This window comes from Homo sapiens, chromosome 12, assembly GCF_000001405.40.
Source record: "Homo sapiens chromosome 12, GRCh38.p14 Primary Assembly".
Classification (NCBI taxonomy): Eukaryota; Metazoa; Chordata; class Mammalia; order Primates; family Hominidae; genus Homo; species Homo sapiens.
Genome location: NC_000012.12, coordinates 102,435,763 through 102,455,786, shown reverse-complemented (window position 1 = coordinate 102,455,786; position 20,024 = coordinate 102,435,763). Strand labels below are relative to the sequence as shown.

Sequence of the window (20,024 nt, the reverse complement as noted above, 5' to 3'; positions counted from 1 at the left end):
CTGGGAGGAGAGATTGCAGGGTGCCTCAGTCCTCTACTGGACATACTAGAATGCTGGTCTCTTCCCTGCTAGGATGACAGGATGGGGAATTTTGCCTGAGTCTGCCCAACTTGCCTCATGGAGGCTTTTGATTTCAGCTACTGCAAACTAAGCATTAAGGAAAGGGGTGCAGGTAGAGACTGGAAGAGAGGGTAGATGCAATGAGTGGAGACCTCTGTGTGGAACTCCTCCCCCACTTGAAATGCCCTATTCTGGTTTCGCTGTGAGATATTTCAAAATGAACTTAACTTGTCAACTGAAAATGTACTGCCTGACCTGAGATTTCTGGAAAAACATGAATCAGAGGTTTGGAAAGTCTGGGTTCTAACTCATAAAGAAATATATTGAATATTTATAAAGATATAACATTCTTAGAACTGTTTCTGTGTGTGACCTCTCTCTTCCAAGTGGCATTGCTCAACAGCCCAGCTCTCATCAGAAGGCTGACATTATGCTGTTGTGCAACTTGCAGCCATAGCAATGTCACTTTGTTAACTGCACTTGCTGTGCATTCAACTATTGAGAAGCCAAACAGCTTTAAGTTTGAGTCAGAAGTTCTAGGCAGGATCATTCTTGTGAAACCTGAACCCTTAGTTCTTCTAAAAAGTCAAAATACATTTGGATCTTGCAAATCGAGAATGTCAGAGCCAATATTTTCCTCTTTAATCAAAACCCAGGAATGGCACGGTGGGTGGCTGGGGCCATGTCCTCCCTTCTTCCCTTTCCCTTCCCCCACACTTCCAGCCAAGATTCTCCAGGCTTGAGAGAGCTGATGTGGAAAAGCAGCTCTGGCCCTTGTGTGTTCAGCCCTGAACCTCTCTGCCAAGCACCACATTAATGGTGGACACTAACGCATTGTGATATAGAGGCATGAGCCTGAAATCACCAATTTGTCCCCAGACTGATAGGTAAACAGCAAATAGGAAAGCCTTCTTCTTCCCTCTCATCCCTGCATTCCCAAATATTTGGGGCTCTATCCAACAGCCTGGATCTGCAGCAAACATTTGCCTCTGACTCAATTGACCCCTTCATGGCGAATCTTACATCCACATTGGATAACTCTACTGGCTCAATCTATGAACAATTTTCAAAATTGAGGAAATAAGGCCCTTTTCCATTCTTAAATAGGCTGGCCTAAATATTCTTGGGAGCTTCATGGAGAGTGTCATGCCCTGGCTTATTCGCAAAGGTGGCAATGGCCTTCAGACTCAGCTAAGACAAACATTGGCACATGCAGGTGGCCATCAGATGTTAATGTTTATCTTGTTCCTCTGTATTGCTGTTATCTTTCAGGGAAATCTAGGAATAGCAGAAAGATGAATCTTTCCTTCCCCATGGGGCATGTACTTCCTTCTAGGGAGTAGGAAGAGAAAACCCTCTCATTCCCTAGACCTCATGAGTTACTCTGGAGGGTTGGTAGTAGCCATGGTTAATGGCAAGCTTCAGAAGGGAAGAGCTTCCAAAACCTTGCCATGATGCCTGTGAAGTGCTGTGAGAGTACTCATGTTTCTCTGGAAGTCACATCATGTGTTTAAGGTAGGCCTTGTACAGGGAGGATTTTGATAGATGGAAAAATTCTGGACACAGAAACTAACTCAATAGAAGAGCACATAGACAGCAAAGTAAGGAGTATGTTTGCAGGTGCATGAGACATCCAGCCAGTTGTTTGGGTGTTAGGCTAGTGCAGAGCAGTGCAAGATAAGCCCAGAAAGATAGGTTGGCACATCTATATTGAAGAATTATAATAGCTAGCACTTTCCAAGCTCTTATATGCATGACACTGTTTTAAGCACTTACATGTATTAACTCACTGAATCACCAAACAACTCTGTGAAATAGGTACTATCATTATCTTCACTTTACAAGTGAGGACACTGAGACACAGAGAAGTACAGAATGTGATTAAAGGCACATAGATTCTAAGTGCAACGAATCCAGGGTTTTAACTCAGGCAGCCTACTCAAGCACGCATGGTACCTGACAACCTTGACAGCATGCTCTATAGAGCATACATTTATTCTTTGCTTCTTCTTCCATCCCCACATCCCTAGCCATGGAAATGCTGAGTAACTTTTAAGGCCAAACTCATCTCTTTCCTAGCAATGCCTCTTCCAACTTCATCATAAGAGAAACTTATCTTTCCCTGTTAGAGGCCTCTCTTTTTTTGTACATACAGTAATTTTCCCAACCTTACTTATATTAGAGTTAAGAATGTGTTCATCTGTGAACTTCTTCAGACAAGAATTGGCATCATATTCCTCTGTATGTCCTCAGAATCTGGGACAGTGATTTGCATGTAGAAAGTGCTCAATTAACATTGCCTGAGTATAATTGAATACCGGAGGCCACTAACTGAGGCCTGAAGAAAAGTTTCCTAATCCTACCATACCTCTTTAAGATCATCTTTCCAAATTCAAAACAAAGCAAAACAAACAAACAAATGCCAAGCTCTATAGGGAACTCTCCCACTCCTGAAAACCTACATCCTATAAAAAACACTTTGGAAAAGCACAATGTAGACCCTCCTAGGCCACACACCTAACACATTATTCCAGCTTTAGCCTTGCTTGACTGTAAAAGAATGCTAATGGCAGCAGTGCTTCTAAAGGCAAAAGCACAGCCACACATGAATGATGTATCTCACTAAGAACTGTGGGGTTCCAGGATTTCTGAGAAGACTCCTTTCATTCTGATAAAGTTCTCAGCTTCTCGACCCCCAAATCCTAACTCCCTGAGGAAGATTCAAAAACACCCAATTTAATTAAAGCCTTTTTTTTTCTCATATTGAAGTCACAAGTTTTCACAGGGTGCAACGTGTTGCTAACCCAGCAATTTCCAGACAAGGCTGCTCAGCAAAGCAGGTGCTGTTTTCTTTTTAGGGCCCATGTCCTTAAATTGCTTTGCTGCTCAGATGTCTCAAAGGTCCAAGTTTCTCTGGCAGATTCCAGCCCAAGCGCTCCTCTTTGACCCAGCTCTTTCTGGCTCAGAAGACTTCTTTTTCCCATAGGTGCAGTTAGCCAATAAGAAGAGAATGTCTTATCTTTTTAAAAAGTACACTTCCAATGTCTTCATTAGTTATCTTCAAACTCAGAGGGTCAATAATCACAGCAAGAGGAGCACCATGCCTTCTGGAAGGATGTCAAATAAGCATGCTGAATGGCCTACAGTTTTGTAATTGGCAAGACCCCCCTAACACAGATTGAGTGTTACAGATCTGCAAAGTTCAGTGCTAAAATATGATTGATTAGTGTGCAAATATTTACTGAGCATCTATTTTATGACAGGCTCTATAACAGATGCTAGGGATATGACATTTGTATGAGTCCATTCTCACACTGCTATAAAGAACTGTCCAAGACTGGGTAATTTATAAAGAAAAGAGGTTTAATTGACTCACAGTTCCACATGGCAGCAGAGGCCTCAGGAAACTTATCATGGCAGAAGAAGTAGACATATCTTTTTTTTTTTTTTTTTTTTTTTTTTTTTGAGACGGAGTCTCGCTCTGTCGCCCAGGCTGGAGTGCAGTGGCGCGATCTCGGCTCACTGCAAGCTCCGCCTCCCGGGTTCACGCCATTCTCCTGCCTCAGCCTCCCGAGTAGCTGGGACTACAGGCGCCCGCTACCACGCCCGGCTAATTTTTTGTATTTTTAGTAGAGACGGGGTTTCACCGTGTTAGCCAGGATGGTCTTGATCTTCTAACCTCGTGATCCGCCCGCCTCGGCCTCCCAAAGTGCTGGGATTACAGGCGTGAGCCACCGCGCCCGGCCGAAGTAGACATATCTTACATGGTGGCAGGTGAGAGAGTGTGAAGAGGGAAGAGCCCCTTCTAAAACCATTAGATCGCATGAGAACTCACTCACCATCATGAGAACAGCATGGGGGAAACCACCCCCATGCTCCAATCACCTCCCACCAGGTCCCTCCCTCCACACATGGGAATTACAGTTCAAGATGAGATTTGGGTGGGGACACAGCCAAACCCTGTCAACACTGAACCAAACTGACAGGGTTCCTGCCTCAGATGCTTAGAGGTTAGCCAGAAAGGTGAACATGGCCAGTGCCAAACAATAGCAAGGAAGGGAGAGATCCCTGTGCACTGGAATCATCTGAGCGGTGAGCTATACAGTATATTCCTCAAGTTTTCTTTCCTTCCCAATGGTTGGAATATCTTTCTCATCGATCTCCCATCTTCTTTTCACTTTCTCTTCTTTTCATCATCTACAGCATGCATTGTTACACACCCACTGTTACAAAAACTGGTATTAGATTTGTTGTGGCAAGAAAGCCTCACTGTCCACAGGCCTACATCTTAGCACCTTGATCTTGAGCTTCTAGAAGTTCTGGCTTCCTGGAAGTTCATTACTTACTCTGCGTAAACAAATGAAATAGAGAGCAATAAAATGCGCTCAGTAATTCTCACATTATTTGTTTGAGATATACTGAAATTATCTACAGAAAGGAGAGCAATACTCTCTTATCCTTGAAGATCAAATGCATCAAAGAGTTACAGGTTTTGATAAAAACTTCATTGATGAACTTAATTCCTATCCAGGAGTCAATTGGTCTACGTAGAAGAGTCCTAAGAATAGAAAAGCTACACTAGGTGTGCAGAACCATTCTTGAAATTCTGTATATGAAACTGTGACTCACTTGATATAACTTTAGAGTGTATGTTTTGACACCTGCTTATTTTCTTACCAGTAGCCTTTCTGGTTTTCCAAAATCTTTCTCCTTGTTATCCACTGACACCATCAGACTAACCTACTATAACAGGTTAACAGACTAAGCAACTATAACTAATCTACTATAAAGATCTTTTAAAGCTTCTTCAAGGCTGAACCTCTGTGACTCTGCATTCCTAGATCCCAAATCCTATCTTCAATTAACAGAGGTTTAGGAGAAATGACCCAAGATCCTTCCTCTGAAAACCCGCCCAAAGTATTATTGAAATCTTATTCAAATTGGAAAGAATGATTTAAAACTAGAGACAGAGATGGAAGTATATTATTGTATTGACAAACAGCATGTAGATATTGAGAAAATGAAATTAAATGTAGCAAGAGAACTTATTTAAGTCTCCCAAATGAGTTTGAAAGAAAGGCAAATGTGCCCTGTATCTGTATTTGCCAACACAGAAAGAGTAATAATAATCATCTCCAGATTAGATGATGAAGGCCTTAGCCTTCAGATGGAAGGCGAAGAAGAGATTGAAAAATCTGGAAATGCAGCATTTTATCAAGTCGAATTTAGTCCCAGAGCAATTGGGCATCCATTTGTCTCCAAGTGGAGCAGTGTACGATGGCTGTTTCCATTCGTGGCAGAGAGCTGCTGGGGCCATCGGAGCAAGAGATGCTTCACAAAGAAAGTGGAAAGCAGCGCCAAAAGGCAAATACAATTCCTGTCACATCCAAAATAGTTCATTTAGCTCTTTATGCTACTCTCTTACTCTTTGTCATGGAGCAATTTCTAGGAGAGTCGCATAAAAGTAGGGAGATTTTTAGCTTTGAGCAGCAAATAAGTGAACTGGGCAAGGAGAGCATGAAATTTAGTGAGGAAAAAGAAAAAGAATGACAGGGGAATAATATAAAAACCCTGGGAAGAAAGCACTTCCCCTGTAGAAAATCTACTATATGAAAAGTCACTCCTCTAAAACAGATATACTCAGGATGGATTTTCTCCATTCGGAAGAGTCCATCACTTTAATAAAACACTTTTGAAGTCTTCATCTCGTAACCTCACGTTTAACATGTCTGAGCACTTCTTGAGAACTCGCCCTCTCTCTATGCTACTGGATGAGACGAAAGGAGAATCCGTGAGCCCGGTGTTCTTTGGAGGCCTCTCTACCTACGCACATTTGTGCTTCACTTCTGCCAAGTGAATATAATATGACAAGGCTTAGAAAGCCCAGGTGATCCAGAGGGCAAGAGTTTGTGTCAAGAATAGAGGTAGAAGAACCATCGAATTATAGGGCTGTAAAAGACCTTGAATTCATAAAATCCCTCCACAGAGAAGGGGTTAGGATTCAACCCTAGAGGAATGTCAGCACAGGCCTCTCTCAGGATGTCCCTTCTCTGACATCCTGAGAGAGGCCTGTGCTGACATTCCTCTAGTTGGGGGGCGGGATGGGGAACAAATAACTTTACTGCCTTCCTGTTCTGCAAACAGAAAACCGTAGCAATGGGGTATCATACCAATTTTTCATTATTATTATACTTTAAGTTCTGGGAAACGTGCAGAATGTGCAGGTTTCTTACATAGCTATACATGTGCCATTGTGGTTTACTGCACCCATCAAGCCGTCACCTACATTAGGTATTTCTCTTAATGCTATCCCTTCCCTTGCCCCCACCCCCCGACTGGCCCCACTGTGTGATGTTCCCCTCCCTGTGTCCATGTGTTCTCATTGTTCAACTCACACTTATGAGTGAGAAAATGTGGTGTTTGGTTTTCCGTTCCTGTGTTAGTTTGCTGAGAATGGTTTTCAGCTTCATCCATGTCCCTTCAAGGAACACGAATTCATCCCTTTTCATGGCTGCATAGTATTCTATGGTGTATATGTGCCACATTTTCTTCTTCCAGTCTATCACTGATGGGCATTTGGGTTGGTTCCAAGTCTTTCCTATTGTGAATAGTGCTGCAATAAACATATATGTGCATGTGTCTTTATAGTAGAATAATTTATAATCCTTTGGGTATATACCCAGTAATGGGATTGCTGGGTCAAATGGTATTTCTGGTTCTAGATCCTTGAGAAATCGCCACACCGTCTTCCACAATGGTTGAACTAATTTACACTCTCACCAACAGTGAAAAAGCATTTCTATTTCTCCACATCCTCTCCAGCATCTGTTGTTTCCTGACTTTTTAATGATCACCATTCTAACTGGCATGAGATGGTATCTCATTGTGGTTTTGATTTGCATTTCTCTAATGACCAGTGATGATGAGCTTTTTTTTCATGTCCGATGGCTGCATATACGTCTTCTTTTGAGAAGTGTCTGTTCATACCCTTTGCCCACTTTCTGATGAGATTTTTTTTTTTTTTTTTTTTTTTTTTTATTATACTCTAAGTTTTAGGGTACATGTGCACATTGTGCAAGTTAGTTACATATGTATACATGTGCCATGCTGGTACGCTGCACCCACTAATGTGTCATCTAGCATTAGGTATATCTCCCAATGCTATCCCTCCCCCCTCCCCCCACCCCACCACAGTCCCCAGAGTGTGATATTCCCCTTCCTGTGTCCATGTGATCTCATTGTTCAATTCCCACCTATGAGTCAGAATATGCGGTGTTTGGTTTTTTGTTCTTGCGATAGTTTACTGAGAATGATGGTTTCCAATTTCATCCATGTCCCTACAAAGGACATGAACTCATCATTTTTTATGGCTGCATAGTATTCCATGGTGTATGTGTGCCACATTTTCTTAATCCAGTCTATCATTGTTGGACATTTGGGTTGGTTCCAAGTCTTTGCTATTGTGAATAGTGCCGCAATAAACATACGTGTGCATGTGTCTTTATAGCAGCATGATTTATAGTCCTTTGGGTATATACCCAGTAATGGGATGGCTGGGTCAAATGGTATTTCTAGTTCTAGATCCCTGAGGAATCGCCACACTGACTTCCACAATGGTTGACTAGTTTACAGTCCCATGAGATTTTTTTTTTTTGTAAATTTGTTTAAGTTCCTTATAGATTTTGGATATTACCCTTTGTCAGATGGATAGATTGAAAAAATTTTCTCCCATTCTGTAGGTTGCCTGTTCACTCTGATGATAGTTTCTTTTGCTGTGCAGAAGCTCTTTAGTTCAATTACATCCCATTTGTCAGTTTTGGCTTTTCTTGCCATTGCTATTGGTGTTTTAGTCAGGAAGTGTTTGTCCATGCCTATGTCCTGAATGGTATTGCCTAGGTTTTCTTCTAGAGTTTTTATGGTTTTAGGTCTTACATTAAAGTCTTTAATCCATCTTGAGTTAATTTTTGTATAAGATGTAAGGAAGCGGTCCAGTTTCAATTTTCTGCATATGGAAATGGGCTAAATGCCCTAATTAAAGGCACAGACTGGCAAATAGGATAGAGTCAAGACCCATTGGTGCTCTGTATTCAGGACACTCATCTCACATGCAAAGACGCACATAGGCTCGAAATAAAGGGTTGAAGGAATATTTACCAAGCAAATAAAAAGCAAAAACAAGAAGAGGTTGCAATCCTAGTCTCTGATAAAACAGACTTTAAACCAACAAAGATAAAAAAAGACAAAGAATGACATAATGGTAAAGGGATCAATGCAACAAGAAGAGCTAACTATCCTAAATATATATGCACCCAATGCAGGAGCACCCAGATTCATAAAGCAAGTTTTTAGAGACCTACAAAGAGACTTAGAGTCCCACACAATAATGCTGGGAGACTTTAACTCCCCACTGTCAATATTAGGCAGATCAACGAGACAGAAAATTAGCAAGGATATTCAGGACTTGAACTCAGCTCTGGATCAAGCGGACCTGATAGACATCTACAGAACTCTCCACCGCAAATCAACAGAATATACACTCTTCTCAGCACCATATCGCACTTATTCTAAAATTGACCACATAATTGGAAGTAAAACACTCCTTAGCAAATGAAAAAGAATGGAAATCATAACAAACAGTCTCTCCAACCACAGTGCAATCAAATTAGAACTCAGGATCAAGAAACTCACTCAAAACTGCACAAGTACATGGAAACTGAACAACCTGCTCCTGAATGAATACTGGGTAAATAACAAAATTAAGGCAGAAATAAATAAGTTCTTAGAAACCAGTAAGAAAAAAAAGACAAAATGTACCAGAATCTCTGGGACACAGCTAAAGCAGTTTTTAGAGGGAAATTTACAGCATTAAATGCCCACAGGAGAAAGTGGGAAAGATCTAAAATCGACACCTGAACATCACAATTAAAAGAACTAGAGAAGCAAGAGCAAACAAATTCGAAAACTAGCAGAAGACAAGAAATAACTAAGATCAGAGCAGAACTGAAAGAGATAGAGACATGAGAAACCCTTCAAAAAATTCAGGAATCTAGGAGCTCATTTTTTGAAAGAGCAGCAAAATAGATAGACCGCTAGCAAGACTAATAAAGAAGAAAAGAGAGAAGAATCAAATAGATGCAATAAAAAATGATAAAGGGGGTATCACCACCGATCCCACAGAAATACAAACTACCATCAGAGAATACTATAAACACCTCTATGCAAAGAAACAAGAAAATCTAGAAGAAATGGATAAATTGCTGGACACATACACCCTGCCAAGACTAAACCAGGAAGAAGTTGAATCCCTGAATAGACCAATAACAAGTTCTGAAATTGAGGCAGTAATTAATAGCCTACCAACCAAAAAAAAACCCAGGACCAGATGGATGCATAGCCGAATTCTACCAGAGGTACAAAGAGGAGCTGGTACCATTCCGTCTGAAACTATTCCAAACAAGAGAAAAAGAGGGACTCCTCCCTAACTCATTTAATGAGGTCAGCATCATCCTGACACCATAACTTGGCAGAGACACAACAAAAAAAGAAAATTTAAGGCCAATATCCCTGATGAACATCAATATGAAAATTCTCAGTAAAATACTGGCAAACTGAATCCAGCAGCACATCAAAAAGCTTATCCACGACGATCATCCCTGGGATGCAAGGCTGGTTCAACATAGGCAAACCAATAAACATAATCCATCACATAAACAGAACCAATGACAAAAACCACATGATTATCTCAAGAGATGCAGAAAAGGCCTTCAATAAAATTCAACAGCCCTTCATGCTAAAAACTCTCAATAAACTAGGTATTGATGGAACATATCTCAAAATAATAAGAGCTGTTCATGACAAACCCACAGCCAATATCATACTGAGTGGGCAAAAGCTGGAAGCACTCCCTTTGAAAACCAGCACAGGACAAGAATGCCCCCTCTCCCCACTCCTATTCAACACAGCATTGGAAGTTCTGGCCAGGGCAATCAGGAAAGAGAAAGAAATAGTTTTCAAATAGGAAGAAAGGAAGTCAAATTGTCTCTGTTTGCAGATGACATGATTGTATATTTAGAAAACCCCATCATCTCAGCCCCAAATCTCCTTAAGCTGATAAGCAACTTCAGCAAAGTCTCAGGATGCAAAATCAATGTGGAAAAATCACAAGCATTCTTATACACCAATAACAGACAAACAGAGAGCCAAATCATGAGTGAACTCCATTCACAATTGCTACAAAGAGAATAAAATACCTAGGAATCCAACTTACAAGGGATGTGAAGGACCTCTTCAAGGAGAACTACAAACCACTGCTCAAGGTAATCAGAGAGGACACAAACAAATGGAAAAACATTCCATGCTCATGGATAGGAAGAATCAATATCATGAAAATTGCCATACTGCCCAAAGTAATTTATAGATTCAATGCTATTCCCATCAAGGTACCATTGACTTTCTTCACAGAATTAGAAAAAACCACTTTAAATTTCATATGGAACCAAAAAAGAGCCTGGATAGCCAAGACAATCCTAAGCAAAAGGAACAAAGCTGGAGGCATCACGCTACCTGACTTCAAACTATACTACAAGTCTACGGTAACCAAAACAGCATGGTACTGGTACCTAAACAGATATATCGACCAATGGAACAGAACAGAGGCCTCAGAAATAACGCTACACATCTACAACCACCTGAACTTTGACAAACCGGACAAAAACAAGCAATGGGGAAAGGATTCCCTATTTAATAAATGATGTTGGGGTATCATACCAATTTATGAGATGGTCATTTGGCTCTTGAGTGGAGGCCACCTCTCAGTGACTCAGCAAAATTTGTCCTCTGCACGGTCCTTGTATCTTGTACCACCTGAGGCAATCAAGTATATTCTGCTTTATATCATAGTTATTTATGAGTTAACGCATCTCCTTACTGGGTCCCAAATTCCTTGAAGGTTGCAACTTTGCCTTGCCTATTCATTTTCACATACTACGCGGCACTTAGGGCAGTGCTTTCAATGTAGCAGGTAACCAATTGTTTTGCTTGCTTTTAAAGTAGTTGTTTTTAAATTGACTTGAGCTTAGTTCTGCAAGAAGACTAGATGAGATATGATTTTGTCATCATAAATTTAAAATGTCCTTAATATTTTCTTAATATTTAATCTATAAAGAGTATTCCTGGCACATAGTAGACAGTAAATAACTTTGTTGAATGAACTTACGCGTAAATACATCAATGACTGACTGCTCATGGAGGGTGCCCCCTTTTTGCCCATGAAGTTGAGGTGGTATTGGGAGAATGCTTTCATTTCCTGATCCTAACTCTCCTGTTGCAGTCTAGTATTGTCAATACAAAGGTGTCATCATTACCGTTAATCCCAAACTGATGTAATCTGAACTTTTGCTCTGTGTAATTACAGATATGGGGTACATTTCCTAGAAAAGAACTGCCCTGGACAAAACTGTTAGGTAGAAAAAAAAAAAAGGAAATTGGGTGTCTTTTTTCCATATTGTCAAGAGCAGAGAGGACCTCACTCTGCCCCCTCCCTCTTGACTCCTCACACCCAATAGCAGCACCAATGCCTGCCACAGAATTATGAGCACTTCAGCCGGGCGTGGTGGCTCATGCCTGTAATCTCAGCACTTTGAGAGGCTGAGGCAGGCGGATCACTTGAGGTCAGGAGTTCGAGACCAGCCTGGCCAACATGGTGAAACCCCATCTTTACTAAAATACAACAATTAGCCAGACATGGTGGCAGGCACCTGTAATCTCAGCTATTTAGGAGGTTGAGGCAGGAGAATCACTTGAACCCCGGGAGGCAGAGGTTGCAGTTAGCCAAGATTGTGTATCATTACATTCCAGCCTAGGTGACAGAGTGAGACGCTGTCTCAAAAAATAAATAAATAAATAAATAAAAATAAAAAGTTACAGGCACCTCAAGGTTGCCTGTTTTTTGCCTACTGTTGCTTCAGTTATGTACTCTCAGTGATCTGTTACCTTCCTTTCCAGAAACTCTGTGTAAATATATCTTAATTCAATGAACAAAGCCATAATGGAGACATTGGAGGCATTAGTAGCCAGCCAGTGATCTGTTGTTTTGTTCATTCAAGAGGAGGTTATCATGAAAATACTCTGTGAGAAACAGAGTTCCAGGATTACACTGGCTTAAACAATATGGAAGTTTGTTTCTCTTATGTAGTAGTCCCAAGATACATAGTTCAGGGCTGCTGAACCATCTGCTGTGCAAAGTAGCTCTATGCCACAAAATCTTCAAGACCCAGCAATTTCTAGATTTCTATTTCACCATCCCAGCATGGTGGCCCTCATCTGCAGGGGCCAAGATGGCTGCTGGAGGTTCAACATTATACCCATGCTCTAGCCAATAGGAAGATAGAAAAAGCAAAGGATGCATTTTGGTTGTCTTTTAATGAAGGATCCCAGAAGCTTTCATGTGACACTTTCACTTATATTTCATTTCCTAGAACTTGAACACATAGCCACACAGAGTTCTAAGTTAGGCTGGAAAATACAGTTAGCTGAAAATTAGGGTTTCTATTACTGCAGAAAGAGGGAAAATAGCTATTGGGAAATTACTAGGAATCTCTGCCAAAGACGCTATCCCTGAGCTCCTTACGTTCTACCACTTGAGTGCCCCAAATCAAGACACTACAAAATGAAAGGTTGATCTAGTGTCAGCCAGATCTAGATGCCAGTCCTATTAGCATCACTTAATGAGCTTTGTGATCTCTGAGCCATTTTCCATGCTATCAAAAACAGCAATAACACCTCCCTATTAGGTTCCTGTAGGATGATATAAGATAACCAGTGGTGCCTAGCACAGTGCCTGGCATATATGGTAGATACTTAGTCAACATTTATTTTTACCATTCTTTCTGCATATAAGACTGGCTCAGCTCCACAGTTTATATCAACTTGGGCACAAAAACATTAACAAAGTTCCTGGCGGCCATATTTCTTGAGCAATTTTATACTCTATCCATTAGCCAGATGTGTTAGAGCAAATGAGCGGCTGCTCAAAAGAATGTCTTTATCCTCACTTGCCTTTTTTTCCTGTTATTGTTGGATGGTGCCAAACAAGACAGAAGCAATTAATAAACTTGTCAGTATCATAAGAGATGACAATTAGAATCAGCAGAGCTTAAAAAGGAGCCTGAAATCATAGGGGTTGAGGTAGTGGGGTTTTTAAAATGCAAAGAGCATGCCTTTTCACTTCACTCTGTTTATCAGGCCAAGCAAACTAAAGTGAAAAGTCACTGTGGAAAAAGGTGAAGAAAAAGGTACCTATTTTGCATCACCCACTATGTCATATCAAGTAAATGAATTAAAATCCCATGTCAAGTACTGGGCTTTATTCCCCATGGTTTCACACCAAGTTTCTCTTAGAAGATACTCTAAGATGCACTAAGCTTTCCCATTCACTTCTGTCTAGGCAGGAAGATTCTACTCAAGTTAAGAAGCAGTGTTGCCAGATGCAGTGGCTCACTCCTGAAATTCCAGCAATTTGAGAGGCCAAGGCAGGAAAATTGCTTGAGCTGAGGAGTTCGAGACCAGCCTGAGCAGCATAGTGAGACCCTGTCTCTACAAATAATCAAAAATTAACCAGACATGGTAATGCATGCCTGCAGTCCCAGCTACTCAGAAGGCTGAGGTGGGAGGATCTCTTGAGCCTGAGAGGTTGACGCTGTAGTGAGCCACAATTGCACCACTGCACTCCAGCCTGGGCAACAGTGCAAAACCCTGTCTCAAAAAAAAAAAAGAAGAAGAAGAAGAAGAAGAAGAAGAAGAAGAAGAAGAAGGAGAAGAAGCAGTGTAATAGAATGACTTAGTGCTCAGAAAGTCTTGAGTTTGGATCCTGGTTTGGGCATTTAATAAGTGAGTGGCCTGAGACAAATAAATAAACTTTTCTATGGCTCAATATTTTCAACTGTAAAGTGAAGATGATAACAGTGTCCATCTCATAGGATTGTTGTAAAAGGTAAATGATACAGCATATGTATAAACCAGATGCACTCAGGTTTTCCAGTCTCCTTGGGTCACGCTTTTCTCCAATATCTACATAAAATAACCTGCAACCCCTTTTCACATTCCATGGGAAGCCCATCCTCTGCCCACGAGCTCTGAAGATTTGGGGTATCATGCTTCTCTCAAGTTATTTCACTCTATAGCCTGCTTCCCAAATATGGCCCACTCCCACTTGTCATTCCTGAAACCATTATTCTATGTTCCCTGCCCCCTTTGCTTCAGCTCATCTAAAGGGCAGGAAAACGCTGGAAGCAGGAGAGTCATGAGTGCCTGAAATTTTGCAGGAGCAGCAGGCAGTAAGAGTGGGAGGACCTGAGATCTATGATAGTGAAAGACATGATGCAATATATTGCCTGCCTGGTTAAAGGAGTAGAAAGGAGTCAAAGATGACTGTAACATTTTGAGTCTGAGTAAGCAAGAAGATAATGGTGCAGATACCAGCAAGTCCAGAGGAGGATTTGACTTTGTTGACTTGACTTTGGTTGACATTGACTTTGGTCAATGGCAAAGATTGACTTTGGTTTCAGAGACACTGATGTATAATAGAGCTTTTAGAAAATAATTCCCATGAGTCACTAGGGTGCCTGTCCAAAGTGCAGTGAAGGGACTGCATAGAAGAAGAGGCTTGGAGATTTCCTTGTACAGGGGATAGCTGAAGCATATTCCCCAACACAATATTAAATTTGTAAATTACCTTTAAAAATAGAAAGAAAATTGCCATTTTAGAGTCTCAAAAGGACTGAGCACCATCTAATTACATCACAAATGATCTCCCAAAAAACTCATTCCTTTAGACCAGGAGATGAGTTTCTATTCATTATTATTTTTGTAGCTAAAATTTCAAATCACAGAATCATAATATATTGCAGTTTGTTTAAGCCTTAAAATGTTCCTGGCCCAAATGCCTCACTTAAATACGGGGAAACTGACATGCTGAAGAGTCTGAGTGACCTATCCTTGTTCACTCAAGTTGAATAATGCTGCCAGAAATTCTACTGTTAGAATTTCTGCTCTCCCTTGCTCATTTTTTCACCTGCAGTCCAGCTACCAAAGATAGGATTTTAGACATTCTATCTACATTTAAAATGTTCCTTCTAACTGCAGCGGAAACACAGGTAGCAAGGAGACAGTGTAGAATAAGGAGCCAGAGGCCTGGATTTTAGTCCCGTGGAAAAAGAACCAGCCGCACTACCTGGAGAGAATCATTTGGTCTTCCAAGTTCTCAGTTTCCTGATTTGAGTAGCAAGGAGATGGGTCTGGATTCGCTCTGAAATGTCTTGCAGCTCTGACATTCCATGATTCTTGGAGAAATCGGCTATCTCCAACTGAATCCACATCTTCCAATCCCACACAAGATGGAGAAGCAGGCCCATCCCAGTATTTGGGGAGGCCCATCAGGACCAAAGCTGTCCTCTCTCTGTGGGGGCTGGAGAAGGGAAGCAGCTGAGGCAACACAACCAGTTTCCTTCCCATTCAGAAGAGAACAATTGAGCTCCTCCCAGGGGAAGCCATGCGGATTTGGACAGTGTGGGGTCTGTCTTATGACAGGAATGGAGGATTTCTGTAGAATGGGGATGCTTAGCGGCCGTAAGAATCAAAGATGGAAGGAAAGCCAAGAGGTCCTTAGGTCCGGTCCCTTGCCTCTAGCTAAGCCTTCCAAGGCAGATGGTTGTCATCCTACATTTAAAGATCTCCAGAGTAGCAATTGCTCAGCTTCCCACAGCGCCTGGGGTCAGCAAGTTTCCCCTTATAATCAAGAAATTCTTCCCGATGTTTAAGTGGAAATGCTTCCAATGTGGCCCGAGTCTGTTTACCCTTGTCTAGTCCTCAGAAGAGATGAGGAATAATCTTCTGTGTAATAATCACTCTTCTTATGCCTGGTGCTGGTGATTAAGTCACTTCTTAGCCTTTTCTTTTTTGGGCTAGATCTTAACTTCATTTTCCACCCAGTTAATCTTTTTTTTTTTTTTTCCTTCTCCTAGCTGGATCTTTTCCAGGTTCTCCAAATGAGCCTTAAAATAGGAGAATGAAATCTGAGTTCCCACTCTAATTAAAACCTCAGCAATGCCAAGTTTTGTGGAAAGATTACTCTCTAGGCTTTCGTTTCATAATTCTCTACATACACCCGCCTCATATTACAATTTGTTGTAGTACTTTCCTGCTCACTCAGGGCCCACAGCTATTTTGTTATAGTACTTGTCTCTGCCAGATGGAGCCCATTTTTGTCTATTTTAAACATCTTTCTGTTTTTAATGACTTCTCGTTTCTAAATTGTTAAAGGTCTCCTTAAATTCAAATCCTACCTTCTAATGTTTCTTTACCTGACTTAGTGCCATCTGAAAAACATTCTAGTCCATTACTCATCATTGAGGAAGGAAACTCAATTTTGTATCAATCCGAGAAGGGCCTGAATAGCACTCATTTCTCCCAATACTCACAAGCATGCTTTGAGCATGAAAAAAAATGCAGGCCACCCCTTCTCCATTCATTTATTCATGAAACATCTTTTGAACAGGGTAGACACTGGACACACAGTGATGAACAGTTTCTGTATCCATTCACTAATGTGTTCCTACATGTGTACAAAATGTACTCCTTAAGCACTTACTCTGTGTAAAACCGTTGCAAGTGTTGTGGCTACAGCAGTGAATAGGGAATAAAAGGCTACTGGCTTCATAGATCCCACATTCCAATGGGTATGGGGGAGGACAGAGAAAAATTACAAGTCAAGCAACAAATAAACAAGACCATGTCAAATTTGATAAACGTTTTGAAAGAAATAATAGGATGATGAACCTGAGGATGGTACTGCCTTTGATGGATTGGATGGGGGAGGTCCCTCTCAGAGGGAGACCCTGAAGACCTTTCAGTTTAGCAGAGTTATGTTATTCTGAACCAATCCCATAAAGCAAACCCACTTCCCTCATGTTTTCTTCTGACAGACCCAGCACTAACTTTTTCTGGGGTGTTCACGGTTTATAATGCCTTGTTACTCAGTAATTGTTTACATTCCCAAAGGACTCTCTCATGTTCTTTAATTGAAAGAAGAGATAAAAGAAGGAATTTAAGTATACAGGCGCCTTTGTTCCTCAGGAAGTTAATGGACATTCCTGGAAAATGAGAGTCCGGTGGTCTATTGTGTGGAGAAAGTGGACTTCAGTACCATGAAACAGATTTCTTCACTGTGGAACTTGAATAGGCTGTTCCTCGACCATCTTGAATAGGCTGGTGAACTTTAAGACTCTGCAAAATAAGATAACGTTTACAGCCGTTTCCTAAGCTTTTTGCACGGAACTTCTTGAACAACTCTTTGGTGAATGCTGAGCTGAAAAGATCTCTTGGATCCTTAGGTGTCCTTTGACATAGGATTTGGCATTTGGGATGTGATTCCAAATCACCAGCAGCCAATGTGCAGGCCAGTCGTCGATGTCTCTGAAGAGTGTGATAGAAAGAAGACCGCAGAGGAAGGCAGGGAGTCCTTCCTGACTTTGCCTCAGCTTCTCTTGTGACCCTGGTCACGTGTGAACTATGCTTCTTTAGTTTTCTCAGATCATGGAATCTTCTGAGAATCTTCTGAGTGTCTAAATGTCCTCTTTCCAGGAAAATCCACAAACATACATAATTATACATCATGCAGAGGGTTGATATGCCTCCTACCAAAATGCATCTCTGAACTGGAGGATTTCTAAGGATCTGTCTGTCCAGTGTGAAAGTTCAAATAGGTTTCTGCTCTGGTCATATTGACATCTTGGTGTTTTGGTTTGTATGCTTGCTTTTAATTGACACATAATAATTGTAAATAATTATGGGGTACACATGATGTTCTGATACATGCATACATTGTGTAAAAGTCTAACAGGGTATTTAGCATATCGATCACCTCATGCCTTTATCATTTCTTTGTGGTGAGAACATTCAATATCCTCTTTTTTAGCTATTTTGAAATATACAATACGATATTGTTAACCAGAGTCACCCTATTGTGCAATAGAACACCAGAAATTATTCCTCTTGTCTAACTGTAACTTTGTACCCATTGAACAGTTTCTATCTCCCCACCTAACTAATGCTCCGCAGCCTCTAGTGACCACTATTCTACTCTCTACTTCTATTAGATTAACTTATTTAGATTCCATATACAAGTGAGATCATATAGTATTTGTCTTTTGACATTAGTTTGGACAAGACCCCAAAAGCAAAAGCAACAAAAGCAAAAATAGACAAATGGGATTACATCAAACTAAAAAGCTTCTGCACAGCAAAGGAACAATTAACAGAGTGAAAAATCAATCTTGGTCCATGTTTTTGATTAGCTTGTGTGCTCCTTGGGACAAAACCAAGCATCCTACCACCTCTCAAGCTTCCTTCAGCCTTCACCACACAAGTGGTGCTAATATGTGTTTCTGCACCTGTGCCAGGTTCCTCTGCAGAGTCCCGAGGTGGCCGTTGCATGAGAGACTGCTAGGGAGGCCAGGGAGACCCCTCCACACAGAGGTACCAGCCAGCCCTGGGGATGCCCCGTTGACTTCTCAATGAGTGAATGAGGTCATTTTTCCTCTGTCTTTTCCAGAAATAGATTCGTTGAGAAGGCATATGCTGAAATGACCTAGCAAGGCAGCAGGAAGGAAGTGACTAGAAAGAGAATCATTAAAAACCCAACTTCTTATTTAAAGGAAAATGGAAACAGGGGCCTGGAGGAATGCTCTAATTGGGAAGCCAGCAGTGGCCCCTGCCTTCCCTCCCAGTGCTCCCAATATGGATTTCCTGCCTTTGGGCACTGTTGGATTTAAAGCTATGAAAGCCTCATACACAGTCTCATCAGAAGGGCTCAGAAAAGAAACAGAGCTTCATGTGCCTTCTTCCTGCCACTTATGTATGGAATCAGTTGGATTAATTAACCCTGTTTCCTCAGTGAGATTGATTCTATCACTCGCTCGAGAAATTCTGATGATTAGGTGTAACCTAACTGATAAATAAAAAATTATAATTTTTTTTTTGCAAAATTAAATGTCCTCTGCTTTGTATAATTACTGTGGTTCTATGGGCAATCATCAGTGGTATATTCCCTTCCACCCTCCTTTGCCACAAATTTTGAATGATCCATGAAAAGATATTTTGATGATGTGGTACTGAAGGTGCCCCAAACCCACACTGCCTTTTTGGCTTCTCTCCATTACCCTAGGAGGTTATAGGGCAAAGGCATAGGAAGGATAGGTTTGGGTTCCTGGGAAGTCTGTCTTCTGAGCTGAATTTTACAATTGAGCAAGTTGGCTTGACTGGCCATCTGACAATCTGGAAAGCTTAAAAATAAATTGAACTCAGTATTTAGAAAAGGCAGCTTTCAATATCAGAAGACTAGCTTGTGTTTCTCGCTTTCCATTTGGCGGGGGAATCTGTGAAGGCTCTAATTTCCTTTCCTGAGACCTGGCTTGTTGTCTTCAGGTGCTAGCTGGAATTCAAAAGGACACAGACTGTGCAAATAAAAAACTCAGGGAAGGGAAAAAGGTCAACATGTGTTTTTTGTTTCAGTTCAGTTTGTTACTTTGAAGGGTTATAATATTTTTTCCTTCTGTTTTGCAATAAAACTGGTTCTGCTACTAGACTGACATATAGATACCTTTATTAGGCAATTATCACAAGAGATATGAAGGCTTTCTGTGTAAGAAAGTATAAGAGGTCTTTCCCAGGACTGCAGTTCTTCCCTTCTCTCCAGTGCCACAGGACGTGATCGTATATTATATACACACATATTAGGAGTTGATATTGCACACAGGCACTGGCATCATTTGAGAACTTATGGAAAATGCAAGTGCTTGAGCACCACCCCAGTACCTGTTGAAACAGCAACTCTAAAAGTGGGGCCTGTTGATCGTGTTTTAATAAGCCATCCAGGTGATAAACATGCAGGCTCAAGTTTGAAAACCACT

At 41.1% G+C, this 20,024-nt stretch overlaps 1 protein-coding gene and 1 long non-coding RNA gene across 11 annotated transcripts in view; one reads left to right on the top strand and one right to left on the bottom strand.

Annotated features, from left to right (window-relative positions):
• LINC02456 (long intergenic non-protein coding RNA 2456) overlaps window positions 1–20,024 on the bottom strand; it is a 432,422-nt gene that overhangs the window by 256,209 nt on the left and 156,189 nt on the right. The window lies entirely within an intron of this gene.
• The window catches only part of IGF1 (insulin like growth factor 1), an 85,966-nt gene that overhangs the window by 26,053 nt on the left and 39,889 nt on the right, over window positions 1–20,024 (top strand). The window lies entirely within an intron of this gene.